This window comes from Homo sapiens, chromosome 9 (genome assembly GCF_000001405.40).
Source record: "Homo sapiens chromosome 9, GRCh38.p14 Primary Assembly".
NCBI classification, from domain to species: Eukaryota; Metazoa; Chordata; class Mammalia; order Primates; family Hominidae; genus Homo; species Homo sapiens.
Window position 1 is genome coordinate 82,978,882 of NC_000009.12, and position 12,528 is coordinate 82,991,409.

At 39.7% G+C, this 12,528-nt stretch overlaps 1 protein-coding gene across 5 annotated transcripts in view; it reads right to left on the minus strand.

Annotated features, from left to right (window-relative positions):
- Nucleotides 1-708: 708 nt before the first annotated feature.
- The window catches only part of RASEF (RAS and EF-hand domain containing), a 239,635-nt gene continuing 227,815 nt past the window's right edge, over nucleotides 709-12,528 (minus strand). For all 5 annotated transcript variants that reach the window (XM_047422827.1, XM_005251730.5, NM_152573.4 and 2 more), the window contains 2 exons: nucleotides 11,510-11,586; nucleotides 709-3,901 (listed from right to left, as the gene is read on the minus strand). In XM_047422827.1, the coding sequence (XP_047278783.1) occupies nucleotides 3,796-3,901; nucleotides 11,510-11,586 (183 nt within the window). In that variant the 3' untranslated portion in view covers nucleotides 709-3,795. The remainder of the gene's footprint in view (nucleotides 3,902-11,509; nucleotides 11,587-12,528) is intronic.

Below are 12,528 nucleotides of genomic sequence, written 5' to 3' on the forward strand. Positions count from 1 at the left end.
GCCAGGTTCAAACCAGGCAGGCTGGCCTCAGAGCTCATACCCATTGATATTATACTGCCTCGTACTTATATTGTCCACCATCATCATGTATGTGTGTCTGTGTGTGTGTGTTGGTGGTGGTGGGTGTTGGCAGACACTCTTTGCAAAGCCTACCTTATTTAACCAGTTAATTCCTTGACCATCCATTCAACAATTAGGACAATTAAAGTATCAAGCACTGCATACAACAGAAGGGAGGCGGCAGTAGACAAAAGTGGCTAAGGACATGGGGCATCTGTCTATGTAATAAGTAAAAGGACAAGAAGGATGTTGACACATTTTAAAAGGTACAACAGGAGTGAGGGCAGGTAGCCTCAGCCTATTGGGGTGCATGGGAATGTGGGGGTAGAAAGAAAGGGGTGAGAATCAGAGAAAAGGTCTAACTCCTCAGAGGATGTGCGGATGGCCAGAACACTGACATTCTTCTACAGAGGCCTCACTATTCCTGGCTGTCCTGTCCCAAGCTGGTCTACCTGCTGCCCTGTTGGCCAGGATGACTTGTCTGTGCCACAGCACTGAATACCAGGCGTGCATTCTTCTCTCCCAACACTCGGCTTGCCATGGCCAGAAAAGACAAGTGTTTTAGAGGTATGGTTTCAGGCAGACACATCCTAGAATTAAAATTACTTCAGGGATATCTGCAGTAAAGCTGAAGGAAACACTCAAAAGGCCAAAGGAAGCAAGCTTTATTGAATTTACAACGTAGAAAATATTTGTAGTTCCTTAGACATTTGCATTGCTATAAAAATTACACTTTATGGTATAATTATTAAGGTTTGAAGAGAAATAAACAGTATAAACGAAATATGGCCCACACAATGAAAATGTAAACCATATAAATCAAAATCATAAAACAATTATTCAATACTCAGAGGCCTACTTAATATATACATATGAAATTTCTTACACACACACAATAAATGCCCACAAAAACCATCACTGAAGCCGATCACTGTACAAATATGAAAATAAATCTTTATCTTTAACCTCAATTTTATCTTCAGCAGGAGGGTTGTGCAACTTGGGTTTATGCAGATCACATCAAGTGTTAAATAATCAAATGTCACATATGTCATATAAAGCAGCAAGTGAAAAAAATAAATTATGAAAATGCATGGGCTAAAAGTTAACAGTGAAAAATATCTCCTTATCCAACATTATTTTCCACAATGAAATTAAAATATTTTACAATGTATCAGGATACATTTAAAAAAGGACTGTAGTATAACTATGATTTTAAAATATCTTAAAGAAAAACAGGGACAAGGTGAATAACTTCCATAGTAATATGCAAATGTATCAAGTCTAAGATAAAAACATTAAATATTTTTGTTCTTACTGAAAATGTGCTTTAAATTTGAGAACACCTTCATGAAATCAAAACGTTGGTAATAATCATGAATCTCCCAGCATACAGAGCTTTAAGAAGCTTCTCTTTAAACATGATTGCTAACCAGAGCTCTAAGTCTCTAATTTGGATTATGTTACCAAAATATTTATCAGGGCTCAAATACTTAAAGATGATTGGTTGACCATCAAAGGCACTGGTGTAATCTCATCAACGTGGCTATACTGACAGGACAATCCAGAGGTAAAGACTATGAAAATACTTCTGTATTATGGTATACTCTTTCACAGATTGTAAAACAAATATAAAGAGACACTTTGGAGAGAATAAATAAAGGCAACACAGTAACATATAAACTAACACAGTTTTGTGCAACTGCACCAAAACCTAAACATGTGTCCCATATATCAGCATCTACATATATCTGATCCAATGTCATCAAAAGATGCCACTAAGACAAACAGCCATGGCAAAAGTTTTCCCATGCCACATAAATAATACCCCCCTTATTTTGAAAAATTTCCCATATGCAAGACATTCTTTATGATCAGAAATGTAATCTTTTCTTTTTCTGGAACCAGGAAACAGGAATTCATGGCAGAGTTACTGAGGATAGATCCAACTTTCCAGCAAAAATATCAGATGTCTTCAATAGAGAGAAGGCATGTTTATAAAAGTTAAATGATGTTGTAGCTATTTATAATCTTTGCCTGTAACTATCCGGTCAATTCCCATTTTTTCAAAAAACTGATGCTTGCGGAATTTAAGGTTCTATCACAAACACCGTGAACAGAAAAAAGATTGCTACATGGAATTGTTTCGATTCAACAAAAATAAATGTTTTTAGCTTATACAATACAATAAATAACAGCTACTTTTTAAGTTCCTTCAGCAAGCTACTTGGGGCCTGGACCTAGATGAAGCAAGGTAAATTAGAATCTTTTGTTGTAGCCCACCCTAGGCTCAAGTGTTGACTCCTTTGGCTCTTAGAGGCATCTCAGTGGGGAGGTCTGGGAAGCAATGCAGGTTCTGGAAGGAGAGTAGGCCCAACCAGGTCACTGGTGATGATGAGCCACTAGTCACATTAAACAAAGGACCCTGACTCACCTTTCCTAATGGTGATTCCTCTTTCAAGGATATTATTTCAAAACCATGCATAGAATTTCTTTCATTGATTATTACTTAAGGAAGTTAATGTTAGCAACCAGGGAGTTAGGGGACTTGCATTACATTACAGGTTATGCTTCTAAACCATGGGAAGGTTTGAAATCAGCAGGGATACGAAAATGAAAATTTTGCAAAATGTTACATCACTCTAAGTACTAGCATTTTTTTTAGTGAGATAATTCACAACCATAAAATTCACCCTTTCAAAGTATACAATTCAGTGGTTCCTAGTACATTCAAACAGTTATACAACTATCACCACTATTCCAATTCCAGAACATTCTCATCATCGCCCAAAGAAACCACATACCTATTAGCAGTCACTCCCCATCCTCCCTTTCTCAGCCCCTGGCAACCACTCCCTTAAGTGAAGAGTGACAACTTTCCTGGGCATTGTGCTTTCAGTAGTATGTGGCTTTACATGTTTCCATTAGAATTTTTAACACCAAATTCAAGCAGTGAGCTTTGTAACTATTCTGAGATTATGAAATATCCTTTTATATACAACTATTTTTGTCTCAAACATGTTTCTTTATACATAAAAAATAGATATTTCTGTTTCCATTTTTTAATCAAATTCTGTCCTTATTTCAGAAGTGAGAAAAATCAATACTCCAATATTAAAAAGCAGGAATAACCATAGTTCTATTATTAACTGTGGGCCACCACACTCTCTGTCCTACTGCTTCCCACAGAATCTGAGGTGCCAAGGGCTGCAAGGCCTTTGAGGGCAAGCTGCACATTTTACAGATGAAGAAACAGATCCGACATGGGCTTGTGACATGTCCAAGGTCACAAGGCCAGTTAACAGCAAAGCTAGGATGAGAATCCCTTCTTACTAGAACTTTAGTATCAAATATTTAAATGCTGACTTTGTGGGTAACCTAATTCAGCTACCACATGAATCTAATTATGTCAGTTTCCTCTACAGCTTTGATCTGAGCATGTGATTTCTTTTCTTTTCTTTTTTTTTACCATTTTAAAAACATTTACATGTTATCTTTTAAGACCTGTAAGGACATGACTAGTCTATTTAGCCAGAGGGCCCAAATCACTCACTGAGACAAAACAAAGAAGAGCCAAAGTTCCAGAGGGACCTGAGAGCTGGGTTCAGGTTTCCTGCACTGTAACTCTCCATAGGACAGTGTCAGTAGGATGTGCCACTCTGTTAAGAGCCAAATAAGTCACACAAATTCAGTATTCTGGAAATGAAGACTTCACAGGCCAAGGATGTTTGGGATTTAGCCATTGCAACAATTCTTCATCTGTGGTGACTTTTTGGAATTGGTCCCGGTTAGATTGGTAATGGATCTGCTGTCATCCTTGTCAGTTCTCTTTTTCACTTCTCTGAGACAGAGATAGAGAGAGACAGAGAGAGAGAGAGAGAGAGAGAGAGAGGATTACTGAGGTATAAAAACTAAGCCACAGATGGTTCTGTAGAAATAAAAATAGCCATGCTGAGTGTCTGCACGGCCTTATAGACATTGTTTTAATGCTTTATAGGTCTTGACTTAATCTTCATAAGAACCATATAAATTTGCTGTGCCCCATTTTGTATGTGAGGAAATGAGGGCAAAAAGAGGTTAAGACAGTTCCCTTAGGTCACATGACTACAGAAGTGGGATTAAAACCACACAGGCTGGCTCCAGCACCTGTTTTCTGAGTACCAGGCCACACACACACACACACACACACACACACACACACACACACACACACACCCTTCTCCCCTCACTCTCTCCTGAGGTTTCAGGATGCTGCAGAACCTGCGATACACACAGCTTGCTCCTTAACACTCTGGAACCAGGTTTCCAGCTTCATGTAATGGTTGCTGAGCTTAACAAAAGCAATGGTGATTTTATAACCGTTCTTTAATTATACATGATCATGGAGGTAACAATGGATTTACCACCATCCCTTTCTGTCATCGTAAGCTTCTTCCAGTATTAACTGCTAGAGGCAAGACTCACGAAAAAATGTCTTACTCTCCAAGATCTTATGAAAACCCCCTAAGGAAGTATCCTTCCAGGTGTAGCCACTGGGGATGCTTGTGAAATATGAAGACCAGAAGTCTCACCTTAGACAAGCTGAACGGCTATCTCTGCCAGCGAGATGAGTGCCTCCCTAAGATGGCCCCAAATAATTCTGCCCTTCCTTGTCAGTGCCTGATGCCTCTCCCATCAAGAGGTGAAGGTTTGATCCCCTACCCTCTTGGTCAGAGCTGGTTCTCCACCTGCTTTGACCAATAGAATATGGAGGAAATGGTATTCTGTGGCTTCTAAACCCAAGTGTTTATAATGCGGGGCTGCAGCAATCTCTACCCCCTTTGAAGTCCAGGGTTCAAGGAGTCCAGGGTTCCTCAATGGAGAGAGGCCACCAGAGTGGCCCTGGGGACTGAGATGCCACGTGGAGTGAAGCCACGAGAAGCACCCTGGTGGCTGACATCCAGCCCGAGCCACAGCCCCGGTGGCCATCTGACTGCAAACATAGGAGATACTCATGCAAAAGCAGTCAAGAAACTTTCCGGCTGACATCCAGCCACCTCTGCCAACTGTGAGAAATAAAAATTGGTTGTTGTTTTGGGCAACCAAGTTTTGGGATGGTTTATGATGAAGCACTTAACTGAAACTAGCGGGAATCTGTGTCTCTCCAGCAGAGCCACACTGCTCAACAGAAATACAATGGGATCCATATATGTCAGTTTGAATTATTTAGTAGCCAGATTTTTAAAAGGTAAAAAGAAATAGGTAAAATTAATTTTATTAATATATTTTATTTAGCCCAGTATAGCAAAAATATTGTCATTTCGGCATGTGGTCAATAAAAACACTATTAATGAGATAATGTGTAGAAGGCCTTCAAAATCCAGTCTATATTGAATGCATACAGCACATCTGAACTGGATTAGCCACATTGTGAGTGGCTAGTGGCTACCAAACTGGCCAGCTTAGCTGCAGAAGGTGCTGATAAATCCTACCTTTCGAAATCCACTGCACTGTGAATTGGAAAGAAGACATCTCAGCAGGGAAAAAAATAAACTGATTCTAGCTATAGGACAGCTGGTAAATGCAATATACATGTTTTTCATATTTGATATATACCCCAGACACACACACCCGACAGGAGATGGGTGAGTAGTACTATCCTCACCTCACAGATGAGGCAACAGAGACTCAGGAGAAGAAAGAGGAGACACAATTCAAACCCTAACACCCGGGAAGACTCATTTCAGGTTTCTGACCTCCAAAATTGTCAGATAATAAATTTGCATTATTTAAGCCTCTACATCTGTGGGAGTTCATTACAAGGACAACGGAAGAGTAACACAACTTCCAAATGCAAAATCTTGGTCGTTCTGTCATTGAATAAATGCCCAACTTATGCCAGGCTCTGGGACCTTCAGCTACTGAGCTTTAAGGGAGAGTCAGATGTCTAAATAAATAATTTCATGGTCCTGAGACAGCAGCTACCACAGATGCACTCTGTGCCCACAGATGTGTTGTGGGCTTCACGGAAATGGGGCTTCATAGAGACTTTTGACATTGGAGAGACCTTTTGAAAGAACAGAAAAGGAGATTCCAGATGCAGGGAACAGCATGCAGAAAGGCAGAGGCATAAGAGCTTGGCCTGATTGGATGAAGTTTGCTGTGTCTACAGATTATCATTCATTTGGGAAAAAGAGATAGAAATTCAACCAGAAAGGTCAGGCTGTGTATTAGTTCGTTTTCACGCTGCTGATAAAAACACTCAAAAGTGGGAACGAAAAGAGGTTTAATTGGACTTAGAGTTCCACGTAGCTGGGGAGGCCTCAGAATCATGGGGGGAGGCAAAAGACACTTCTTACATGGTGGCAGCAAGAGAAAAACGAGAGAGAAGCAAAAGTGGAAACCGCTGATAATCCCATCAGATCTCGTGAGACTTATTCACTATCACGAGAATAGCAGAGGAAAGATCGGCCCCCATGACTCAATTACCTCCCCCGGGGTCCTTCCCACAACACATGGGAATTCTGAGAGATACAATTCAAGTTGAGATTTGGGTGGGGACACAGCCAAACCATATCAGGCTGTGATGGGCTATCAGCCACATGCTAAGGAGCTGGGACTCTGTGTTTTCAGTAAGACACCAATGTGGGGTTGGACGCAAGAAAGTAAATATTAACTGGATCTTTATTTATAAAGATTACCTGATTCCACAGTAGAGGATGAACTGATATTGGAGAAACCCTGAGGCAGAAATTCTTGCACTAGCCCAGGTAGGGAATTTTGAGGCCTGAACCAAAGCAGAAAAAGGGAGAAAGCGAGAAAAATGCATGGATTCAAAAGAGACTGAAAGATGACCTTCAGAAGCCACTGGAGGCAAGGGGTGAAGCAAGAGAGAAAAGGAATCAAGACTGACTCCAGGTGACTATTGTTTAATTATAATTTTGGTAGATTCCAGAGAAAGGGAATACAGACTGAGGAACAAGCTTAAAGCCACATGAACACACCAGGATTTGGATATGCAGAGTCACCATGGCTATGGCGTTTCCGGTGGGGGTTCACTCTATGCTTATGGAATTTTAAAAAGACGTGAGGGGTTAAAAATACAAAAACTGGAAGTTACCAGGTAGAGATGGTTCCAGAAGCTGTGTGGATGGAAGACATTAGACAGACAGAGAGTGAAAAGAAAGAGAGGACAGTCAGAGACCCTGAGATTACCAACATTTAAACAGCAAGCCAGTGATCCAGGTTGGTGGTGAAGAGTCCTCACATTGCCACTTACTAGCTGTGTCACTGAGCAAGCAGATTAAGTATTCTAATTTCCAATTTCCTCTTCTGTAAAATGGGTACAATAACCATAGCATCTTCACTGAACAATTCACATCTCTCTCTTCTTGTAGATCCAATGGCCTCTATCAGCTACGTACCATATGGCTGCCTGGTCATATATTGTCATGTTCTTTTCTGTAATGTTAAATTACAAGGCCAGTCTTTAAATCCCTTGATGTCTCTATTGAACATAGCATGGGGCTATGCACGTGTTAAGTGCCAATAATGCAGACATTATTGAACCTGAAAGCAAATATTAAGGGGGAAAGTATATACCCACATTTTCATCTGGCCTTCAGCCAAAAATGCAGGCATGCTCCACTTTAAGGAAATTATAAAGATACAATTCCAAACATCTAAAACAGATTTAAGGCTGGGAAAATTAGGGCTCACCAAAATCTACCATACGCTTAACAACTGCAGTTTAATTGACTCAGTCTTATGGACAGATTTACACCCAATGGGCTCAGCTCTGATGCTGAACTGATACATCAGCCTAAGTTTTTTGTGTTTTTCTCCAATTTCAGGCAGTTGATAATTAAATGCCTCTTGAACTTGAATCTACTGCAAAATGTTTAAAGCCTGTGGTTCTGGTGATGGAAAATTTACTTACTAATGGGACAATGGTTATGAACGATGACCTATCAGCACTATATAGAAATTGCATTCCTAGGAGAAACTCTTCCTGGGATTGAAAGATTTTCTAAGAAAATGCAGAGTAGTTCAGGTTGTTAACCAAATATTTATGGCCTCCCTTTAAAAATAAATTGTTTGAGACAGTGCAAACCCATACCTTCTCCTAGTTTTATGACATTATATGATCTCACCCTATGAAATCTAAATTGAGAACATATATGTTTTGCATTATACATAAATTTCCCAAGGTTGTAAAACTTCAACAAATGGTAATTTTACCTGTGGAGACTATAACATTTCCATTTAAGGGTTGAGTACTTTGAAAAGCCAATCCGAAGGCTAAGTATAAAGCAATTAAGGTCTTCATATGTTTGCTTTATTTATAATTTTTATATTTAACACATCACTAACATCACTAGAAGCCCAAAGCCAGGCCATAATGCAATAACAATAAAACAAAAACCTCTATGATAAATGATTCGCAAGAAGCTTATCTTATTTCTTTACTTGTCTAAAGCTTTTTAAAATAACTATAACCTATCCATTATGCAGCTGAAATAACCTAGTTATCAAAATTCTTTTGCAAACCAGGTGTTTTAAGTAAACACACACAAGCTAGTGTCGAAGCTTCATTGTAAGCAGGGCCAACACGTGGCTGACCCAACATGCCACACAGGAGCAGATGGGGAGAAAGGCACAGGAAACTTACAGCCTCTCCCATCTTTATGACATAATAAAGAGAATCGACTCTTCACCGGGGCACTTTGGAGCCATATAACTTTAATATGACCCCATAAGACAACTGAGCATTAAACAATGATTAAGATATTCAGTGGAGTACAGACTGTCATATACAGAGTCACAGGCTCTTAGAATTAGAAAGGACCTTTGAGATCATTTCCTTTAGGCCCCTCCCTCATTTTACAGATTAGAGTTGCCAAAAGAAATACAGGGACTTGTTCAAGACCTCATAGCTATTTAGAAACAGATTTAAGAATGGACTTTGAGCCTCCTGACACCATAATCCTCCAATATGCTGGGGAGCAGCTAGTAACCACATGCAAGGCTTGATCTGCTGCATCTGTTACTGCTGCATGGGAGCAGCAATGCAGTGTTCCGCTGACCAAGGCTAAGGCATACCAGGGATGCTCCAAAGACCTGCAGATCCTTCCCCACTGCCATCTGTGCCAGCAACTATATCACTTCCATCCAGCTGTTCCCAGCAACTTATGAATGAAACACCAACACAACCATTTGAAAAGTAAAAACCTGACAATCCAACAGTTATTTGATCTTTAGTGAAGTCAAATTCTGCATTTTACTGAACTCTCCCCTCTTTACTGAATGTAGCTTGTTGAGCCAAAATAGCTGGTGTTCCCTGTGCACCCATAAGTGCGTGGAATCTGTTATTCAACCCGACAGATAAAAGTTTTACTCTGACTCTTTTTGCACAAATGTGATATTAGTCCATGATTCTCCTACTATTCACAGCCAAAAACAAACAAACATACAAAAAAACACACAAAATAACCCATCTAATTTAGTTGAATGTATATGTGTTCAAATATTCACTTTTTTTTTCTTTTAAAAGATGAAATGGTTTGGATGTTTGTCCCCTCCAAATCTCATGTGGAAATCTGACCTTCGGTGTTAGAGGTGGGGCCTCGTGGGAGGTATTGAATCAAGCGGGTGGCTCTCTCATGAATGGCATAGCTCCATCCCTTGGTGATGAGTGAGTTCTCGCTCTGAGTTCACAGGAGATCTGGTTGTTTAAAAGAGAGTAGCCCCTCCCCTCTCCTTGCTCCCTCGTCATGTGACACGCTGGCTCCCCGTCACCTTCCACCAGGAGTAAACGCTCCCTGAGATCTCACCAGAGGCCAAGCAGATGCCAGTGCTAAGTTTCCTGTAAAGACTGCAGAACCATGAGCCAATTGAACCTATTTTCTTTATAAATTGCAGTCTCGGGTATTCCTTTATAGAGATGCACAAAACAGCCTAATGCAAAAGGAAAAAATGTGCTAGGTCACATTCAAGGTTAGCACTGTTTTTGCTTTAAACAAAAATGATTTCCAGTGTTGTAGGGGGAGGTGACTCTCTCTCCTGGACTGATGTCAAAGAGGGAAATGTTCGAAGACTCTTGAGTGTGAATACAGGGCATCTGCCAACCCTGCCACAAACTAATGCCAAGCAGGACTCCCAAAGTCCATTTCCTGATTCTCTTAAGTGAGGGCAACAGTTTATCCTGTAGCCCTAGTCCAAACATTCTATTAATAGAACTCTAATTTATTAAGCACTATAAATGCCAAGTCATTAATGTATATATGTATATGTATGTGTGCATGTGTGCGTGTGTGTGTGTGTGTATATCTTTTTTTAAATAGATACAAGGTCTCACTATGTTGCCCAGGCTAGTTTCAAACTCCTGGGTTCAAGTGATCCTCCAGCCTTGCCTCTCATAAAAATGATAAAAATAATCACTCAGGAATTAATGTCCATCAAGAATCTGTTTCCTCTTGGCCAGCAACTAACACATCCTCCTTCCTGCTAACTTTTCCTTCCTGGATCCAGCAGCCTCCATGTTGCTGAAACCAATGGGATCTGCTGGAATTAAAGGTGTGGGCCACTGCACCCGGCCCTAAGTCATTAATTGAAAAACAGCATTAAAGATATTGCAAAGTATTTTAACTATCAATATTTACTAGCAGAAAAGGCCAATTATCATACTAAAATTAAGATTCTTATAAAACCTTACAAATAATCAGAAAAAGAATGACATGCCTAAAGTTATATTTTAACTTTGTCTGCAATTAAAGATGATTGCTCTGAAATTTGTATTGCACATTTTGATTTTTTTCCTTTTTGTGATATTTAATCCCTCTAGGCCAGTAAAGAATAATCTTTTCATTTATAGCAGAAAACCAGGTAGGAGGGAAAAATCTAATGTAGAATGTTATTTCCTAAGAATTACTTCAAGGATTAAAACACATACATTTATATCCAAGTTCTTTAATGATGCCATTTTCATTCTATTGTACATCCAAAATGTTATTTATTATTAACACTATTGCCTTAGCTTAATAATTACCTGGGTAATAATTCTGACAAAGTGTTTCTAACTGGCATAACATACAAATTGCTTTGTTTCTTTTTCCCCTTTTGCCCGGGAAAATATCATAATAGACAGTTGTATTCATAATAGTCCCTTGTGTATAAAATCTGCTTCCTGGAAATGATTCATACACGTCAACTATTAGCTTTGTGGTGACATTTTTCAGAAATGTCAATGACACCTCAGATGCACCTCTTTTGTTTGGTAGTAAAGATATTTTGCCAGTGTTGACAGCAACGTTGCCAGTTTTTATAATATCCACATATTTATTTCTCCCACCATGACTGACAGATAAGAGAGTGTTTTCCCGCATATATTCTATCTGCACATTATGGACAAGAAATGTGTCATATGCAACAAGCGAAAATTCAATCCTACATCCATTTTCCCAAACTTTACCGAGCAAGGTGCAGAACAGCCTCCACTATGTTAGAACCATCTTTGGCACTTGTTTCACAGAATAATGCCCCATACGTCTGTAAAAAAGAAATACACACAATTAAATGAAGCCCTTCATTGAGTTTCCTGAAATTTTAGCTTTTAAAATCAGTAAAATAAAAATATGTTCCTACTGAGCATGCTAAGAGTAACTAATAGCTAAGAAACTGAATTCAGAGTTCCAGTACTTACAAAGAAAATGGTTTAAGCATAGTTACTCCAGGAAAAGTTCCTAGTTGGAGGACTTTTACTTTACATTAAAAAAATAGAATATTTCATGTTTGAAGGTTTTTATTTCCAACAGTCAAAACACATGCTACCAAATGTTCTTTATCAAATATTCCGAGACAGATAAAAATGAGTTCAAGGTAACCACTCAGGAATTAAATGTCCATCAAGAGTCTGTTTCCCTTTGGCCAGCAGCTAACACACCCTCCTTCCCGCTAACTTTTCCCTTCTGGATCCAGCAGCCTCCACGTTTGCTGAAACCAATGGACACGTTCTAGTTCTCTATTATTCAACCTCCCAGCCATAGTGCATATGATATCATGTCACTCTCCTGCTTCAAACCTTTCAATGCCTCCTGTTTGTCTTTAGGTAATGTGAAAATGCTTTTCCATGGCCAATGAGGCCCAGCTTCACGTGGCCCCAGGCAAGCTCTGAGCTTCACCTCCCACCTCACTCATCCCCCACTCACTCACAGAGCTGCAGTTTCCCTGGCCTTCCTCTAATTCTCCAGTGTCCGCAAAGCCTTCCCACCTTGGGACCTTTGCACCTACTCTTCTCATCACCTAGGTTCCCTCCACCCTCCACCAGTCTGACACCTACCTACTTTTGGGATTTTTAGGTAATCCTTCCTTGCAGTTAAGATTCAGTCATTCCTAACCCTGAAAAGTTTGTATTAGGACTTCCCATCATAAACTTTCATAGCACTCTGCGATCCTCATGCACAGCAATTGCCACAATTATAATTGCTCAAG